The sequence below is a fragment of the Homo sapiens genome, chromosome 3 (assembly GCF_000001405.40).
Source record: "Homo sapiens chromosome 3, GRCh38.p14 Primary Assembly".
Taxonomy (NCBI): domain Eukaryota; kingdom Metazoa; phylum Chordata; class Mammalia; order Primates; family Hominidae; genus Homo; species Homo sapiens.
Window position 1 is genome coordinate 42,482,954 of NC_000003.12, and position 20,006 is coordinate 42,502,959.

A 20,006-nucleotide genomic window follows, 5' to 3' on the forward strand; every position below is an offset into this window, starting at 1 on the left:
TGTGATTCCAACACTTTGGGAGGCCAAGGCAGGCAAATCACTTGAGGTCAGGAGTTCAAGACCAGCCTGGCCAACATGACGAAACCCCGTCTCTACTAAAAATACAAAAATTAACAAGGCGTAGTGATGTGCACCTGTAATCACAGCTACTCAGGGGGCTGAGGCAGGAGAATCACTTGAACCTGGGAGACAGAGGTTGCAGTGAGCCAAGATTGTGCCACTGCATTCCAGCCTGGGCAGCAGAGCAAAACTCCATCTCAAAAAAAAAAAAAAAACTCTGGGATACAGCAAAAGCGATGCTGACAGGAACGTTTATAGCATTAAACGCCTACATCAAAAAGACTGAAAGAGTGCAAATAGACAATCTAAGGTCACAACTCAAGGAACTAGAGAAACAAGAACAAACCAACCCAATCAGCCGAAGAAAAGAAATAACAAAGATCAGAGAAGAACTAAACGAAATTGAAACAAACAAAAAAACCCAAAAGATAAATGAAACAAAAAGCTGGTTCTTTGAAAAGATAAACAAAATTGATGGACCGTTAGTGAGATTAGCCAAGAAAAGAAGAGAGAAGATCCAAATAAGCTCAATTAGATATGAAATAGGAGATATTTCAACAGATACCACAGAAATATGAAAGATCATTCAAGCCTACAATGAACACCTTTATGCACACAAACTAGAAAATCTAGAGGAGATGGATAAATTCCTGGAAACATACAACCCTCCTAGATTAAATGAGGAAGAAATAGAAACTCTGAATAGACCAATAACAAGTAGCAAGATTGAAACAGTAATTTTAAAAATTGCTACCAAAATAAAATCCAGGACCACATGGACTCACAGCTGAATTCTATCAGACATTCAAAGAAGAATTGGTACCAATGTTACTGAAACTATTCCAAAAGACAGAGAAAGAGGGAATCCTCCCTAAATCAGTCTGTGAAGCCAGTATCACCTAATACTAAAACCAGGAAAAGACATAGCAAAAAAAGAAAACTACAGACAAATATCCCTGATTAACTTAGATGCAAAAATTCTTAGCAAAATACTAGCTAACTGAATCCAACAGCATCGCAAAAAGATAACCCACCATGATTGAGTGGGTTTCACACCACGGACACAGAGATGATTTAACATATGCAAGCCAATAAATGTGATACACCACATAAACAGAATTTAAAGCAAAATCATATGATTATCTCAATAGATGCAGAAAAAGCATTTGACAAAATTCAGCATCCCTTTATGATTAAAACCCTCAGCAAAACTGGCATAGAAGGGCCAAACTTCAAGGTAATAAAAGCCATCTCTGACAAACCCACAGTCAACATTATACTGAACAGAGAAAAGTTGAAAGCATTCCCTCTGAGAATTGGAACAAGACAAGAATGCCCACTTTCACCACTTCTATTTAACATAGTATCAGAAGTCATAGCCAGAGCAATCAGACAAGAGAAAGAAATAAAAGGCTTTATTGTTTATTCAAAACAATAAAGAGGAAGTTAAACTGTCACTATTCACCAATGATATGATCATATACCTAGAAAACCCTAAAAACCAATTCAAAAAGCTCCTAGATCTGATAAATGAATTTAGTAAAGTTTTGGGATACAAAATTGATGTGCACAAATCAATAGCACTGCTCTACACCAACAACGACCAAGTTGAGAAGCAAATCAAGAACTCAATCCCTTTTATGACAGCTGCAAAAATAAAAATAAAAATAAAAATAAAATACTTAAGAATATACCTGACCAAGGAGGTGAAAGATCTCTACAAGGAAAACCACAAAATACTGCTGAAAGAAATCACCAATGACACAAACTAATTGGAAATATAACTAATGCTCATGGATGGGTAGAATCAATATTGTGAAAATGACCACACTGCCAAAAGCAATTTACAGATTCAGTGCAATTCCCATCAAAGTACCATCATTATTCTTCATAGAACTAGAAAAAAGCAATCCTAAAGTCCATATGGAACCAAGAAAAACCCCACATAGCCAAAGCAAAACTAAGCAAAAAGACCAAATTTGGAGGCATCATATTACCCAACTTCAAACTAAACTACAAGGCTATAGTTATCGAAATGGCATAAAATACTGGTATAAATATAGGCATGTAGACCAATGCAACAGAATAGAGAACCCAGAAATAAAGCCAAATACTGACAGCCAACTGATCTTCAACAAAGCAATGAAACATAAAGTGGAGAAAGGACACCCTATTCAACAAATGGTGCTGAGATAACTGACAAGCCACATGTAGAAGAATGAAACTGGATCCTCATCTCTCACATTATATGCAAATCAACTCAAGATGGATCAAAGTCTTAAATCTTAGACCTGAAACCTACAAATTCTAGAAGATAACATTGGAAAAACTCTTTTAAACGTTGGCTTAGGCAAAGAGTTCATGACCAAGAACCTAAAAGCAAATGCAACAAAAACAAAAACAAATAGATGGAACTTAATTAAACCGAAAAGCTTCTGCACAACAAAAGAAATAATCAGCTGTGTAAACAGACAACCCACAGAGTGGGAGAAAATATTCACAAACTATGCATCCAACAAGGGACTAATATCCAGAATCTACAAAGAACCAAAACAAATCAGCAAGAAATAAACAAATAATCCCAACAAAAAATGGGCAAAGGACATGTATAGACAACTCTCAAAAGAAGATATACAAATGGCCAACAAACATATGGAAAAAATGCTCAACATCACTAATTATCAGGGAAATGCAAATCAAAATCACAATACGATACCACCTTACTCCTTCAAGAATAACTGTAATTAAAAAATAAAAAAAAAAATAGATGTTGGAGTGGATGTGGTGAAAAGGGAACACTTTTACCCTGTTGGAGGGAATGTAAACTACTACAACTACTATGGAAAACAGTAAGAAGATTCCTTAAAGAACTAAAAGTAGAACTCCCATTTGATCCAGCAATTCCACTACTGGGTATCTACCCAAAGGAAAAAAAAAGTCATTACATGAAAAAGACACCTGTTCAGGAGACAGATGCACCAAAATCTCAGAAATTACCACTAAAAAACTTATCCATGTAACAAAAAACCACCTATTCCCCAAAACTATTGAAAAAAATAAATAACTAAAACATTGTCCTAATGAGGGTCCATAGGCTTCAAAAGAAGGTCCATGGCAGTAAAAAGGTTCAAACCCCTGCTGTGGACAGACCCCCATGAAAGAGGGAAGTGATGGCCTCCAGTTGGGAGGGGTCCTCATTCAATCCTTGCAGAGATGGGCCAGAAAATCTTAGAAACCAATGTTCTAGGGCAGGGGCTGGCAGCCAGACTGCCCAGAAAAGGACTTTACTCCATCTTATCTTCTTTCTACTTATTGTTTTAACTTGTACTTATGGATTCTGAACTTTTCCACTGTGCCCAGCAAGGAGCTTAGCAGGTGAGGGTTCCTGGCAGGGTGGAATAGAAACAAGAGCCTGACAGGCACTAGACTTAGCCCCTTGAATTGGGATTTTGGGTGGTGGCCAAGGACTGACAGGGCAGCCCTCAATTTCCCAGTAGGGGGTCCGGGAGTGATAGAGTCCACATTCCAGGACTTTCCTGGAGATGGACCATGTTGGGCTGTCACTGAAGGCTGGTATGGCAGAGCCGAGAAGTGAACTCCCAGGCACGAACTGAAGTGAGTCCACAGCACCTGCCCTGGGGAGTCAGTGGCTGACAGGAGGTCTTTAAGCTGCACAACCTGGACCCCTGTCCTCAGAAACTTTGAGTAGGGAGCAGGGCAGGCAAAACTGGCAAACTATATGAGAGATGCTAGGTTGGTTCCTGTCTGACCTCTGCTTCTTCCAGAGTGTAGCAGATATTTGGGGCCCCTCCTCTGATAACAGCTGCAGCTGCAGGGGCCAGCTCTATACCAGCCCTCAACATCCCACCTCAACAGTCATAGGTCTCTCCTTTTGCCTGTCTCAGGGCTATTTTTAAAAGTCACAGAGTCAGCTGGGGGATGAGTGGGAGATGCAGCCAGGAAGTGCAGGGGAGTTAATTCCCCAGAGTGGGACCCACAGATAAATGGCCCAGCTTCCCACTCACTCTGGGAGGCTTCTGAGGTTCTCGCTGAGTTGGGCCCCCATCTTCTGAAGCAGAGAGCTTGATGGCACACTCCCTGCTCCCTTCCTGCAGCCTGCTAGGGTCACCTCCCAAATAAACTACCTGGACCCAAGTACTTTGCTCCAGGTTCTGCTTCTAGGGAGACCCAAACTGAGATATAGTAATAGAGTTTTTAAGCTGGACACATGACTGCCTCTTATAAAGGCTATATTGCTCAGCTGTGTATTTTAGCCATGGGTGGCCATGTGATTAAGTTTTGGCCAATGGGATGTGAGAAGAGGTGACTGTGCAACTTCCAAATCACTCAGTTGCTAGGAAGGGGCATGCCATCTTCTTCCCCTTTGCCTCTCTTCACTGCCTGGAAAGCAGAAGCAGCAGTGGCCATGTGGACAAAGGTCTTTACCTCCTGATATTCACTCCCTTGTGTAGCCTCCTCCCACATTCAACCAAGAATGGCCTCTGTGATCAATAGAATACGGCAGAAGTGACAGTGTATGACTCTCACAGATAGTCATAAAAGGCACTCTATCTTCCATTTCAGTCCCTGGGGTCTGTCACTCAGGAGAACCAGCCGCCATGACATAAGGACACTCAAGTAGCCCTGTGGAAAGGTCTACATGGAGGAGGAACCAAGGCCTCCTTCCAATAGCCACGTGAGAGAGAAAATGGTTGGGAATAGATAGTACCCCAAATAAACCTTTAGATGACTACAGCCCTAGCTGACATCTGACTGCAAACTCATGACAGGTCTCAAGCCAAACCTGTCCAACCAAGTTTCTTACAAATTCCTGATCGACAGAAACCATAAGACATAATAAATAATTTATTAAAGCCACTAAGTTTTAGGTCAATTTCTTATATAATACTAAATAACTGCTATGGGTTGAATTGTGGCTCTCCTGTCAAAAATTTACATGTTGAAGTCCTAACCCCTAGTACCTCAAAATGTAGCATTATTTGAAGTAAATGTCTTTACAGAGGTAATCCAGTTAAAATAAACTTATTAGAGTGGGCCCTAGACCAGTATGACTGATGTCCTTATAAAAAGGGGAAATTTGGAGACACACAGGGAGAATGCCAACGTGAAAATGAAAGCAGAGATTGGGATGATGCTTCTTCGAGCCAAGGAGTGCCAAAGATTGCCAGCAACTACCAGAAGCTGGATGAGAGGCATGGGATTCTCCTAGTCCTTAGAAACCAACCCTACTAACACCCTATCCTTGGGCTTTCTGGCCTCCAGAACTACAAGAAAATAAGTTTCTGTTGTTTAATCCCCCAAACTTATGGTACTTGGCTACGGCAGCCAGAGCAAACCAGTACAATAACTGATACAGACAACATCCAAAGGATAGTGGAGTAGAAAGACCGAAGAACTCTGGGCCTTTCATGTCACAGCAAGAGCCTCCACACCAACTCTGGCTTCTCTATGCAAAAAAATAAATCCCTGTCTTATTTAAGCCGCTGTTCTTCCCATCTCTAGCCCACGTAGCTGAAGCTATATCCTCACAAATTCAGCATCTAAAACTTCCTCTCGACATGTGCTGTCCTGACTGATTTCACATGGAAATGAATCCCCAGAATAAAGAAATAAATTGAGATCAACACTGTCATCAAGATTGTAAAGACTGTCTTCCTTTCGCACACAGACACTGAGTGTTTCTTCCAGATGGAAAGCAGGTGGGGTTGGGTGGAAGGGGATGCAGGAAGCCCTTACTGTGAAGGAGCAGCACATCCTGGCAGGACTGAGGGGGAGGTCTGGAGGAACCACACTGGCTCTACTCACTCTATGGAGACAGAGCAGAACATCTCTCTAAGGAAAAAGAAAGGGCACCAGGTCCAGGAGAGACTGCCCAGGAGCGGAGGCCAACACAAAGATTCAAAAGAAGTGCTTCTTTCTGTCCTGGGCTAAAACGAACCACACGTACATTCCCATTCCTTCCCAAGATGGCCTCTTCCATTCTGCTGTCCCTGAACAACTTGAGGACTGGGGAGTTGGAGTTGGAACTTGCAGTATTAAAACTCTTTCTGTTTCACTTAACATGAAGCCAACGTATACTGGCCTAAGCAAAGAAGAGATTTATATAACAGAAACAGAAAAGTTCACAGGGCTTCCGGTGCAACTGGATTCAGGAACTCAAACAATGTCATCAGAAATCTGTCTATCTCTATCGCTTGGATCTGATTTCCTTGTGTTTGCTCAAATCTCAAGCAGGTAAATATGCCACAGCAGCAGCAAGCTTGCATTTTCCCAGCTTACTAGTGGAAAAGCAGCTTCTTTCCCACAGTTCCAGCAAAAGCCCCAGGGCTGATGCTCATTGGCCCAGGTTGGGGCATGTGACCATTGGCAAGACTCCCATTGGCCAGGCCTGGGGCAGGTGCTCACTACTGGAGCCAGAGCGGAGTATAAGCCCTACCCAATCACTGAACTACGTGGGTCAAGAGTAAAGGAGCTGTGGCTTCCCCCCAATCAGAAGGGCACTGGATGATGGATGAACTCTGTGTGGTGCGTCTTCACACTGACACCAGGAGGATAAGGAAGTGACTCCCTCAGCTGAGTGGCTGGCATGTGCCAGGCTAGAGCAGCTTGGCTATGGCAGAACATCCAGCCCCACCGTGTGGACGGTAGGGTAAGACCCAGCCCTAGTCTGGCCTCAGACTAAGGGCTCCTCATCCCCAGGCTTCCCCATGCATTGGCACTCCTCCAGACCAGGAGTAAGACATTTCTTTGTTACGCACAGTTCTGTACTTTCTTACTCCGCAGTATGGCCCTCCGCTGGTGGCCAGTTACCCTCAAATGTGGTCTTAGCTCCAGCAAGCCTTCTGCTTTCTACCTTCTCTCCACTCTCCCACCATAGGTTACACACACACACTCATTCTTCCACCACCAGTCCAAGACCTCTCCTCCGACCCTCCATTTCTTCAGAGCACAGTTCCCGCGAAGCCCTTCCTCTGATCTGCACCACCCAGAGAGGCTAAGCTCTGCCTGCAGTCTCCACTCACACCCTACCTCATTCCTACAAGAGACTCTGGTCTCCCTACTTAGCCTGGGAGCTCCCAGGGCAGGAGTTCAGCTTCCTCCTTGCTCCTTCCCCACCCCAATTCCTCCCCATGCAAGACAGAGGACAGACAGGCCTACCCCCAAAGAAGGGGTTAAATAATCTGAAAGTTAGGGTCACCACAAAGCAAAAGAAGCCAGCGGTCAATTCAGGGTGGCTTCCCAGAGTGGCAGCAGGCGTCAAGGTTCACACGAGCTGCAGCAGAGCTGCTAATGCTGTCAGGGTCCCTATCCTTATTCCTCTGGGCCTTATCCCATCTCAGGCAAGAATAGGCCTAGGGGCAAGCACAGCTGGCAAGTGACTCAGGCCTGGGCAGGATCTAGAATAAAGAGGAGGCGAGAGAGGCGTGCATAGCTGAGGCTATTTTTACCCAGACCTGTGCAAACAGAGGCATGAGCTGGTCTGGCCAGTTCCTCCCCTTCCTTGGCACCTGGCCTGGAAGTCCCTTACCAAGTAAGCAGTACCCACTGGGTTGGGAGCCAGAGGGGAGGAATGGGTGGGTAGAGAAAGGGCAGATGTAAGAACTGCCTCCAGGTACCCTAGAGACACAATACCTTGGAAGGTGATAAGTGTTATGAAGAAGAGTAGAGAGTAAAGAGGTTTAGGAGTTGGGGGGAAGGGAGCAGTTTGCAGTATTAAGGAGGGGGACTGGCATTGAGAAGAGAGGTGGGGAGCCATGGGAATACCGGGGAAGAGCATTCCAAGTAGAGGGAGCTGCCAGTACAGACTGAAAAGCAGCAGGGGTCTAGGAATAAATTTTTAAAATAGCAGGGAGGCTGGTATGCCTTCAGGGAGAGCAGAAGACCAGAAGAGAGGTGAAGGATTGTGATGGAGGCATCACTCAGGGCCTGGTAAGCGCTCGGAACTAAGGAGCCACAGGATCTCGCTGATGTTTTAAAATGTGTTCCACAATAGTCAGTCTGAGAGAAATGTGTTAAATAACACCACAGGGGCACAAGCAGCAAACTTTGACAGGAGGATGCCCGTGCGCAGAACCCACAACCCAGTTTCTTCAAAAGAGAGCCTGCAAGGAAAAGAGAAGCACAGGCAGAGAGATTGAGGGGAGTCTCTGTATGAAATTTGAATGTGTGAATCTCTGTATTTAAGCAAACAACTGGTAAAAATAAATAAATTATCAATCAAAGCACTTACAAGGCAAGGAATGAAAATTAAATAATGATTGGATATTGAATGCTATTAAGGAATTTTGGTATTTCTTAGTGTGAAAATTGTGTTGTGTATAATGGTATTGTGGTTATTTTTTAGAGTCCTTATCCTTTAGATGTACACACTCAAATATTTACAGATAAAATGGTAGATCTGTAATTGGATTCAAAATGATCATGGTTGAGGTAGAGGGACAGAGGAAATAAATTAAGTGATGGGTGCATGGAAGATCATTATAATACTTTATTCACTTCATGTATTTTGAAGCTTTCTTTCTTTATTTTTTGTTTGTTTGTTTGTTTTTTGTTTGTTTGACATGGAGTCTCACTGTGTCACCCAGGCTGGAGTGTAGTGGGGTGATCTCAGCTCACTGAAACCTCTACCTCCTGGGTTCAAGTGATTCTCCTGCTTCAGCCTCCCAAGTAGCTGGGGCTACAGGCGTGCACCACTACACCTGGCTAATTTTAGTATTTTTAGTAGAGCTGGGCTTTCGCCATGTTGGCCAGGCTGGTCTCGAACTCCTGACCTCAAGTGATCCACTGACATTGACTTCCCAAAGTGCTAGGATTATAGGTGTGAGCCACCGCACCTGGCCTGAAGCTCTTCTTAACAAACAATAATACTACTCAATCCGGATACTGAGATTGGAGAATGGGGTTCCAGAGATTCTGAGGAAGCAATTGTGGTGAACAGGTGAACAGGTGAGCAGGTGAGGGATAAGTTAAAGATGACCTGAGACTGCAAGCAAAGGGTGAGAGAAAGCAGTCAGGGATGCGCTTGCAAGAAAAGACTTCCCCTTCCTCCCCTGGCTCCAGCATTTGGCTTCCTCTTCCCTCCCAACTCCCTCCTCCCCTCTCATTTTTTTCTTCTCTCCCAACTTTCCATCCTCTGCCCACCCTCCTCATCCTTCCTTCCTTCCTCATCCCTCCTCCCCTATCTCTCCTTCCTCTTTTCTCTTCCTCCTGCCTCTCTATCTTCAGCAAACATCTTCCTGGCCTCCTTCCCAGCCCTGCGCAGGTGGTCCTACCCAGCTGGTTTTTCTCTGCAGCTAGGTTGCCAGGCAGCTCCAGTTTGGTTCCCCTGGTCACCACCACCCCCAGCTTCCCAGGCCTGCTCTCCTTGCTGAGTGCTGCCTTCACCAAGTTTCCTCAAAAGGAGAAAAGAGAGTGCTCCTGGGGCCTCTCCTCCCTCCACAGAGGAAGCACCACCACAGCCTGAGGTTGTCCTGGCCCAGCTTGGAAGGGAATGGAGGTGAGGACCTGGGGAAAGCGTTAGGGACCCAACCTGGCATTGACAGCATGAGATGGTCTTTGTTGTTCTTCTCCCGGAAATGATTCCCCTCACTGCAGAGGAGGGTGGAGGCTGGAAGAAAAGCAGAAGTGACCCTAAGACACTTCCTGTCCAGGCATTTGTTTTCAAGTGCCAAGCCTGGGGACCCAGGAGGAGAAGGGAAGGACTTCCCTGGGATTCCTCCAAACTGTCTCCCTTGAGCAGCACTAGACTCACTACCTGCTCCCCACCTCCCACCTCAGGAAGGGGACTGCAGGGTACACAGGAGGCTGCGCCCTGGACACCAGGCCCCAGCCCCACCAAACCCTCAGTCCCCAAAGCCCCAGACCCTGAACTTGCCAGGACCATGCAGGCTGGGCTACTGTGGGTCTTGGCAGAACCAGCAACCAATGGAGGGCGAGAAGGAAGGAGATCTCTAACATTTTCCCAGAACAAACCACGCAGGAACCCAAGAAAGGCTGAAGTTCTATTTTTTGCCAATCCGGTGTAATGAGAGTATAAAGCCAAAATTAACTTGAATTCTAGAAAATAAAGACAAGCCATATTTCCTGAACCTGAGTCAATGGACTGAGATTCCATCCAAATAAAGGAAAGGCTAGGAGGGAGACGGGTGGCTTCTGGCTCCAGTGAGACCCGAGGCTATCTGCTGCAGACCCCAGATTGCAGGCCACGGTCCCTGTCCAGTGGCAGGGCACCAGCCTACCTTGCCACTGTGGGCAGCCATCAGGGAGAGGGCAGCCACTCTCGAGAGGGCCTTGGGACCCTAAAATAGCCTTGTCTCCCCAGGGAGAGTAGACACACACTCCCACGGCCGAGCATGGGGCTGGCACTCTGGTAATCATCAAAGTAATAAAGATGATAAGAAGAAGCATTTAGTGAGCATGGCTGCTTGCCTGTGGGCACAGTTGGGCCTAGGGTCCCTAGAGGCCTTTATGCTGGATACCTGTGGCTGCAGTGGGGGACAGAGGAGGGATTAGAGCTGGGCTTCCCCAACCTAACTCAGATCTCTTGCTCTCTCTGCCTGGTCTTCAAGCCACAAGCTTGGCCCCAGTCCTAGAACCCATCCTTCAGTCAGGGGAATGACACAGTGGCTGTTGCAAAGGCCCCAGGTCAGAACCCAGGTCTGGCTGATGGGTCAAAAGAAAGTTAAATAGATACTCCCACCCCTGCTCTGCAAGGATCAGGATATGGCTGTACCTGGGTTTCTCTGGGCGTTTCTTCAGGGTCCTGAGGTCCTCGTCAGAGAGGCACAGACCTGGGCTGTGCTCTACCTTCTCAGCCAATGGGAGCCCAGACTCTGGGCCCATCCCTTTCTGGAAACATCTGGTTTATCAAGGGCAGCCACTCTGTGACCAGCCAGGGTCCTCTCCTCCAGTCTCAACTCCCACCTGGCAGGTGAGGCTGCCTCTGCCCACACCCGTCCTGGGCCCAGGTCCCCTCACCTCACCAGGCAGCAGCCAGCAGCATCCTGCCTAAGGCACAGCAGCTGACAACAGACCTGCCTCAAACCTTCCCCAGTGGGGCAGCCGTGGTTTGTCTCCCTTGTCTTAGCTCAGGAACTAGACAACTTTGTACTTTATTGACGCTGCTGTTTAATTTTTGCTTCTATGTTTATGTATGAACATGAATTAAACATTAGACGTTAAATATGTATTAAATTAATTCATAGATTTATATATTTATTGATATCCATGAAATTATAAAATGGAAATGCAGTTTTTTTTTACTTACCATATATTTGCTTTGTTTTAATATCAGCATTATGATACCTCGTAGAATATGTTGGAAAACATTTCATCTTCTTCACTGCTTTCAAACAGTTTGATTACATAGGAGTTATCTGTGCCTTAAAGGTTTATGTAACTCTCTTATAAAACTATCTGAGCTTGGTATTTTTTAGGGGTAAATTTAATGGTTTATATTTCTCTAGAAAAGCACCCATTTCACCTAGATGTTCAAATATATTGGCATTAAGATAGTATTCCCTCATAGCTTTCAAATATACTCTATTCTTGGAACTATGTCCTTTCTCTTGTATATTTCCACTTTCACTTGTGATCAGCCTTGCTAAACCTTTGTCTATTTACTGGTCTGCTCAAGAGGAAAGTTTACTTTATTAATCACTTTGATATTTTATTTTGATTTCATTGTTTTCTGTTTTTATAGTTACTAATTCCTTCTTTCTTTGGATTTAATTTATTATTTTTTTCTAGTATATTTAGCTGTTAACTTATTTCACTAATTTTATCTTTCTTGTTTATTATCAGTGCAATTAAGGCTACAAATTTTCCTCCAGTTACTAGAATGTTCATATCTCTTATTTTAATATTCATTGTTATTCACTTCTAAATAATGTATAATTCCAATTTTTACTTCCTTACCATAATAATTACTTAAAAGGGTGATTTCTGGTGTTTTAAAATTTATTAATTGTCTATGCGTGAAATATTTCCAAACATACAGGAGAAAAGAATAAGAAAATCAAACCCAAATATCCGTCACCCAGTTTTATTAGACCTTAATATAATGTCATATTTGCTGTAGTTTTTTAACATATTTTTTATTTTTTTGAGACAGAGTCTCACTCTGTCACCCAGGCTGGAGTGCAGTGGCATGATCTCGGCTCACTGCAACCTCTGCCTCCCGGGTTCAAGCGATTCTCCTGCCTCAGCCTCCCAAGTAGCTGGGACTATAGGCGCCCACCACCACTCCCGGCTAAATTTTTTTATTTTTAGTAGAGACGGGGTTTCACCATGTTAGCCAGGATGGTTTCCATCTCCTGACCTTGTGATCTGCCCTCCTTGGCCTCCCAAAGTGCTGGGATTACAGGCATGAGCCACTGTGCCTGGCCTGCTGTAGACATTTTTTAAAGAAATAAAATATTCAGTGCAGTTGAGAATCCCCTGTGTATCCCTCCTGTGGTTGGCAGAATTCTAAGATGGCACCCAAGATTCCTGCCTCCTGGTGTGCACACCCTGTATAATCCCCTCCCTGTGAGTGTGGGTGGGCCTGACTTAATCAGGTGAGCCCTTTAAAAGGAGGTTCTAGAGTTCAGAGACATAAGTCAGACAGCTTCAAAGCTGCAGCAGATACTCTCTTGCTGGCCTGTCAAAAAAAGCAAACCTCTATGTTGTGAACTGCCTACAGAGAGAGTCACATGGCTAGAACCTGAGGTCAACCTCTAGCAGCTGAGAATGACACCCAAGTCAATGGCCAGCAAAAAAGTAGGGAATCTTATAGCTGCAAAAAATTGAACCACCTGAAAGAACTTGGAATAACAATGAAAACTGAACAACCTGACTGAACTTGGAAGAAGACCCTGAGCTTCATATGAAAACACAGTCCTGGCTGACACTTTGATTTCAAGCAGAAGACCCAGCTAACCTTTATATGGACTTCTGACTCTAGAAAATGTGAGATAATAATGAGTGCTGTTTCAAGCAGCCACATTTGTGGTAGGAGTTCGAGACCAGCCTGGCCAACATGGCGAAATCCCGTCTCTACTAAAAATACAAAAATTAGCCAGGCGTGGTGGCGTGTGCCTGTAATCCCAGCTACTCGGGAGGCTGAAGCAGGAGAATGGCTTGAACCCGGGAGGCGGAGGTTGCAGTGAGCCAAGATTGTGCCACTGTACTCCAGCCTGGGGCAAGACTCCGTCTCAAAAAAAAAGCTAATACATCTCCCTTATTCCATTCCCCTCCCTCTCTTTGCAGAGGTAACTAATAACATGTCTTTGTGTTTATCATTCCTGGACATGATTTACACTTTTACTGCATAATTAGTATCCATAAAAGTTACATAGTATTGTTTGCAGATAGTATTGTTAACTCTATAAAAGTAACATTGTATCATACATATCATTCTGCAACTTGCTTTGGTTGCTGGACACCATATTTTTAGTTACATATACACATAGAGGGAGATGTGGCTCTCCTTATTCTGAGAACTGAAAAGAATTTCTGAGAGAAGGGTGTTAAACTCTTCCACTAGGACTGTAGATTTGACAGTCCCTCCCTTTTCTACATAACTTGAGGCTATAGCATTAGAGGCATAGACGTTTGGCATTTTTATATCTTCTTGAAAGACTGAGTGGTCTAACAATATGAATTATCCTCTTTGTGCCTTTTGTTTTCTATCTTAAATTCTCACCCATTCCCATTGACTATGATGATTCATTTTTGTAATTATTTCTAATACATGATTTGATGCTTCTATTTATCATATATTTTATTTTTAATCCTCTCATACGAGCAATCTTTATTTTTAATCTTCCCAAACAAACAATCTTTATTTTTAATCCTCCCAAACAAACAATCTTTTATTGGATACATGGAGTTTTCTTAGTTTCATTTTTCTTTTTTCTGGTTATTTGGGAGTTACATACTTTCTTTTTTCCCCAGTGGATACCCTCACATTTTTAACACACACACTAATCTCTGGTGGCATCAATTATGTTAAACTCCATGTTGTGTTTTGTCCTGCCTACAGTATCTCCCTTTTCCAGAATCTCTGCCGAAGGTCAGCTACACACAGGAACGCAGGACTGGGAAGAGGGAGGTTAGCGTGAGAACTTTGAGATCCCCTGTGGAGTTAGTCTGAGTTCTCCCTGGGCTAAGTGGCCTCACCCCCCTCAGGAATTCACTGCCTCAGAAATGAGCTCTGAGAGAGGATGCAGTGCTGTCTGTGGTTATGGGCACCCTCTGAAACTCAGCCCCTCTCTGCCCTTCCTACCTTGAACCTTGTCCCTAACTCTACTTCCTCCCTGCACACGCTGGCCAAGCCCTGCTCTCAGACCCCTGGCTGGAAGTAGATGTGTCTGTATGAACTCATGCCCACACACAAGGGCACACACTCACATGCTCTTACACGCGGACATACATGCACACACACACACGCACACACACACGCACACTGCAGCAAGCATTTGACCAGAAGCTGTGGCTGCTTTTGAAAACAGGGTGGAGCAGTCCTCCCCTTTAGAGTCTCCCACACTCCCAACACCATGACCCCTGATACGGTTTGGCTGTGTCGCCACCCAAATGTCATCTTGAATTGTAGCTCTCATAATTCCCATGTGTTGTGGGAGGGACCTGGTGGGAGATAATTGAATCATGGGGGCGGTTTCCCCGATACCGTTCTTGTGGTAGTGAATAACTCTCATGAGATCTGATGGTTTTATAAATGGGAGTTCCTCTGCACAACCCCTTTTTGCCTGCCTTCTGCCTTTCGCCTTCTGCCATGATTGTGAGGCCTCTCCAGCCACATGGAACTATGAGTCCACTAAACCTCTTTTTCTTTATAAACTTCCCAGTCTCAGGTATCTCTTTATCATCAGTGTGCAAACAGAATAATACAACCCCCTTGCTAAGCTGTCTGGTGACAGACTGCTGACCCCCTGGACAAAACTGAGTCCTGGGGTTTTGAGGGAAGGAGTTCTCAGGTTTTTCCTCTCTGCCCAGAGCAGGAGCTCCAAGGGTAGGACCTAGGTCCCCTCTTCCTCTATCCCCTGGAGCAGGAGCTCTCTCACATACTTCATTCTCCATGCCTCAGTTTCCCCTCTGTGGCAGCTGCAAAGGGGCATCACTTGGATCCACCTCTAGAAAGAGCTTGCCACTCAACTGTGAGGAGGGCAATGAGTTGGAGCCTCTAGCCACATTGCCTTCAGGCTCTTGTCAATAGGTCTATGACTGGGCCTGTCAATGCTCTTCCCAGACAGCCCCAGACATTGACAAAGCACAGTAGGGTTACTAAGGCTTCTATTCCAGCCTTTGCCCTGGAACTCGTTATCAAATTGGCAAAGACTTTTTCAGATCTGCAATGCAGTCTGAGTTTCTCTCTGCCCAATCCTACTTTCTCCTCTTTTGTCTCTCACAGGTCCCCCTGCCATCCAATAAACATTCACACTCCTAACTCCACCTTAGCATTTGCTCACTAGAGGACCTGAACTGACACACCTATAGTTAGCACCACCCTTCCCCGCAACAGAGCTCTAAGCCCCAGCCTCCAGGACCAGGAATAGCCATTTCAGAACTTGTCCTTGAGCTTCATTTCCAAATCTGTTATGTCAGGATGATTCTTTCTCCATCACCTGCTCTCCCGTGAACTTGGTTTTCTTCCTAGATGCAGGTGTAGCACCAACAGAAGATCCCCCACAATCCCACACCCAAGCAGTGCTAGGCTTCCCTGCAGAGGACAGCCCATGTCTAAGACACAGTCACGTCCCCAATCCCCAGATGAGTGCGGGTGTTGAGACGTGAAGGATGAATGAATGATATTCACTGCATGCTGTTATGGAAGGGAGGAAGGGAATATTTCTTCTTTAAATGCCTGCCCAGGCCTCTCCTGCCCTCCACCAAATTACAGCCTGGAGTTAAGGTGCATCTTCTCACAGGAAGAACTGGCCCCAAAAGAAGGTGCACCCTGGGGAGGTGGTGATCACTCCATGTTGCCAGAGCTACCAGCCCCGCTCTATGGATAAAGACCAAAAGTGTAGGTCCCTTCAACTCAGAAGCCCGGAGAAAGCAAATGTTGCCTGCATCCAGACAGCAACGTGGGTGGCTCTGGCAGGGGAATCCTAGAGCAGTGACTCCCCCAGCCAGGTGGTTTCCTCACCATCTCCTAGCCTGGCCTCCAGCGTACAGGTCAAGGCCACTCTGTGGCCCCCCCAGCCCCCTTCCCACTCCACCACAGAACCTCACCACCATGGAGCCCCTGAGCTGGAAGCCTTGAAGGCAGTGAGTGCACGATTCTGAGAGGAGGCGAGGGCGGCACACAGCGCATGGATGAGACAGGCAGGAAGCCAGGCAGGCTCAGAATGAGTAACTGCAGATTCTCTTTGTGCCATGCCTGTTGTCACGGGGGATGGCAAGTGACTCCACTTCTCTCTCTTTCCCGCCACCTCCCGTGTCCTTGGCACCCATGTGATTCTGACATCCAGAAGGGATATGAGATGGTGCTAGAGACTAGGGACAGGTTTTAGGGATCCCAGAGGGGAGACTTCAGAACAGACCCCCCCAGGGAGGAATCCATGCAAGAAGGACATGGGGGAACAGAGAGTAGGAGGCGACTATGGCTCTCCTCCTCAAGCCTGGACTGGGAAGGCAAGGCAGACTCCAGAGGGGCTTAGGCTTTGGACAGGGTGGGGAGATTGGGACCACAGGCTTCCCACTCCCTCAGGTAGTCCGTCGGCCCCCCCTCTGCTTCTGACATCCCTCTTCCTCCAAGAAGCCTTCCCAGATCAACTGGGTGCACAAAAGGATGGCTTCCTCAGCAGATTCTACAGGACTCCCCAAGAGTGGGCCCACGGTTGACCCCCTTCCCCCCAGTGCTTCAGAACACAGGACAGGACATTCGGGAGCAATTAGTTGAAACACAGTCACATTTAATGTTGGTTGAATTTTTTAGGTTTTTGTTTGGTTTTGCTATTTTCTTTCTGCTCTTTTCATTTCTGAATATGTTTTGTGCCCTTTGATAGGTAAGGAAGGGTGGATCCCCCAGGAGAACAATTCTGAAAGAACAAAGAAGTGATGTTTATTCCGAAGAATCTGCAAGGAAACAATTATTTCTGATTCACCTACTCCCTTCCGGGGAGCAAGGCCTGCAAAGGCATCAGATGCCTTCCCAGCCACTCACTGCCTCCAACCTGGCCATCCAGCCCTCCAACAGAGGAGAGGAAGGGTAGTGTGGGCCCCCCTCCAGAGCCAGGGGAAGGCAACCCATCCCCACTGGTAGCCAGTCCCTCTCCCTCCCTCCCCACCCTGCCCACCAGCCATTCACTGGTGGGTCACATGGCAAAGTGAGGTCTGCCTCTCCAATCCTCACACCCATCATATACCCTCAAGTGTCCAAGAACCTTGTCCTCCAGGAGAGCAGGAGAACTTCAACAACCCTGGGGGCATGACACATTAATGATAGGATTTCAGCATCCTGCAGCTGGCTAGGTGCTGTGTGTGTATGTATGTGTTGAGGAGTGAGGGCTGAGGATTCATGACACCCCAAACCCACAGGTTTGCTCTTCACATCTAGGGCTCCTAGGACACCATGCCAGCACAAGTAACTTCCCAGGAAAAAGACACAATTCCACTGTCCTGCCAGGGAACTGAGACCCGAGACGGGGTACACAGGGTCATAAGGAGAGACAAAGACCCCTGATTTCTGAGCTAACAGCAGCCGTCAGGGGTGTGGATAGCTGAGGAGATGGCTGAGGATGATTCAAACACTCCCGCCATTGGGAGATCGAGTACAAACCCAAGAAAGGCTAGGACAGAGGCATCTCCACAGCTCCCAAATCTAAGGAAAGGCCTGTGTCCAGCCTCACTGATTATATCGGGAAGGAGGTAGAAATTGCAGGGAGTACAGTAGCTCCCCAAGTTCCCCTCATGGCAAGGGGATGCTGCCCATCCACCTCTGTGCCCCCAGTGCACAGCACAGGGCCTGGCACACAGAAAGAGATTAATAAATGTGCATGGAAGAAAGGAGGGAGGGGCTCCATGGTGGCGAGGTTCCCTTTAATGAAGGGAAGGAGGAGAGGGAGGAAAGGGAAAAAGAGCAAGTGCAGGGGATGGAATGCTGGAAGGGAGGAAGAAAGAAGAGAAAGAAGAGAGAGTGGAAAGAAAGTGTAAGTACGCCCTGAAGAAAGGGCCAGGGCACTCATCCCTTCCCGGCTTTCCCCCACTCCCCTCAAGCCCACCCCATGGCAGCATCCCAACGTTCCCTCTCTGTAGGGAGGGAAGCCCTGGTGGGTCCTCAGGGAGCTCCTGCGCGCCTGCTGTTCAGCCAAAGCCTAGCGCGGGACCTCCTTCAGGTAGCCGCACATTCTGCTCAGGGCTCTGGGACCCGCTGCCCTCTCCGCCTCTCCACTGAACTCCGCCTCTCCTTCTGTCACACGGCTCCGCCAGCCACTCTATCCTGCCGCCGCGACCACATCTCCAGCCTCGATTGTGCAGGCTCGAGCCCGTAGAAAGAGGGCTAGCAGCCACCTGCGCTTGGTCCACAAGAAGACGCGCTCCCAGGGCGCAGAGCTGGTGACCCCGCTCCCCATGCCAGGGACGAATAAACGAGAAAAGGGGCTGACCCGGTGTCACCCAGCGGCCGAGCAGCCGCCCCTTGGAAGCTCAGCACCAAAGGCAGGCGGCCAGGGTCCTGGCCCCTCTCTGGACCCCAGTATCCCCAGCTGTAAAATAGGGAATGCAGGAGGAGGACGACGTCTGTGGATCGTTTTAGGTCAGCTGCGGAGTCGGCCTGCGGGCTGGGAGCAGACCTCGCTCCCCACGCGAGGGCGCTGGCACTTCAGCCCAGCCTCCCTGGGGAGGTGCCCTGGACGAGACCCGCGAGGGTGCGGACACCTCATCCTCCCTGGAGCAGGTCTCCCGAGGCTTGAAGGGCCAGGGCACCCAACAGGTGCTGAGCGCGCCCCACCAGGTCACCCGGGAGCAGGGAACACCAAGGAACCCAGAGTCGGGCCTCTTTCGAGCCCTCGCTTCCTCTCGCCTGGCTTCTTCGGCGCGAAGGATGAATTGGGGTTGTTGAAAATTGATCAAACAACCCGATCTCTGTCAGCGCCTGGACACTTGCTGGGCCCCAGCTCGCAGCCTGGGAAGATAAGTGGCACTTCCTGTCTCGTAATCGGATTTGCGCGCACGAACCCTCGGAGACGCACAGGTGGGAAATGGGGAGGCTGGCGGGGAGGCCTCCTGGAGGAGGTGGCTCCGAGGGTAGACATGAGGAGCGCCCTGGGATGGGGCTGAGGGTGGATACAGAGGTGGGAGCTTGCGAAGGTCGTGAGCTAAGCATGGAAGGATGGAATGTGTTCGGGTCTCGAGATTCCCGGGTGATGAGCCCGGAGGGGCGAAGGCCTATAAATGTCTCACGACGGAAGACCAAGGTGTGGGATTGGCAAAGAGAGAGCAGAGCTTCCTCACTGGCAGGGGCTCCCCAGCCCCGCCCCATACCTGCGCGGCGGCCCCGCCTCCACCCATCCATTGGCTAGATCCGCCGCCCGTCAGACGAGCCCCCGGGGCCCGCCCCCAGCCCTGAGCTGCGCCTCTTAGCTCTGGGGCCACAGCGCCAGCGCCACTCTGCCAGGCTCCCGGCCATCGCCCGCCTGGTGCGCCGCCCGCCAGCTCTTTGCCCGCGCGGGGCCGCCCGCCGCGGGCTCAGGGCAGACCATGCGCCCGCCAAGTCCGCTGCCCGCCCGCTGGCTATGCGTGCTGGCAGGCGCCCTCGCCTGGGCCCTTGGGCCGGCGGTGAGTGTTCGCCCGGCCGCCCAGAGTCCCGGCAGCCTGGGGGTTGCGGAGGGCGGGGGAGGTGGGGGATGGCGGGAGCCGGGCCGTCTGTGCGCGTGTCTGTGTAAGAGGAATAGGGGACATCAAGCATCTCGACTCGCCTCCTC

The 20,006-nt window shown here is 47.8% G+C and overlaps 1 protein-coding gene and 1 long non-coding RNA gene across 12 annotated transcripts in view, besides 4 other annotated features; both read left to right on the forward strand.

Moving 5' to 3' along the window:
• The window catches only part of VIPR1 (vasoactive intestinal peptide receptor 1), a 48,270-nt gene continuing 34,609 nt past the window's right edge, over positions 6,346-20,006 (forward strand). For 9 of the 11 annotated variants that reach the window (XR_007095725.1, XR_940500.3, NM_004624.4 and 6 more), the window contains exon 1: positions 19,690-19,860. Coding sequence is in view for 7 of the 11 variants with exons in the window: in NM_004624.4 (NP_004615.2) it covers positions 19,783-19,860 (78 nt within the window). In the remaining 4 variants the exon portion in view is untranslated. Of the gene's footprint in view, positions 6,726-19,689; positions 19,861-20,006 lie in introns of those variants that run through there. The other 2 variants (NM_001251882.2, NM_001251885.2) reach the window with 2 other exon arrangements.
• Positions 7,190-7,449: an enhancer, noted in NCBI's record as "active region_19745". NCBI's record gives its function as "activates an Ori minimal core promoter by ATAC-STARR-seq in GM12878 lymphoblastoid cells {active_cell/tissue: GM12878}" and the evidence as "EXISTENCE:reporter gene assay evidence [ECO:0000049][PMID:35858748]".
• LOC124909372 (uncharacterized) lies at positions 7,513-8,356 on the forward strand. Its single transcript, XR_007095894.1, has 2 exons — positions 7,513-7,612; positions 8,110-8,356. It is a non-coding gene; the product is annotated as an uncharacterized LOC124909372 (long non-coding RNA).
• Positions 18,188-18,761: an enhancer, noted in NCBI's record as "H3K27ac-H3K4me1 hESC enhancer chr3:42542633-42543206 (GRCh37/hg19 assembly coordinates)". NCBI's record gives its function as "activates a minimal SCP1, AML or CMV promoter by ChIP-STARR-seq in naive H9 embryonic stem cells {active_cell/tissue: H9 hESC(naive)}" and the evidence as "EXISTENCE:reporter gene assay evidence [ECO:0000049][PMID:30033119]".
• Positions 19,289-19,388: a silencer, noted in NCBI's record as "silent region_14243". NCBI's record gives its function as "represses an Ori minimal core promoter by ATAC-STARR-seq in GM12878 lymphoblastoid cells {active_cell/tissue: GM12878}" and the evidence as "EXISTENCE:reporter gene assay evidence [ECO:0000049][PMID:35858748]".
• Positions 19,449-19,948: a silencer, noted in NCBI's record as "silent region_14244". NCBI's record gives its function as "represses an Ori minimal core promoter by ATAC-STARR-seq in GM12878 lymphoblastoid cells {active_cell/tissue: GM12878}" and the evidence as "EXISTENCE:reporter gene assay evidence [ECO:0000049][PMID:35858748]".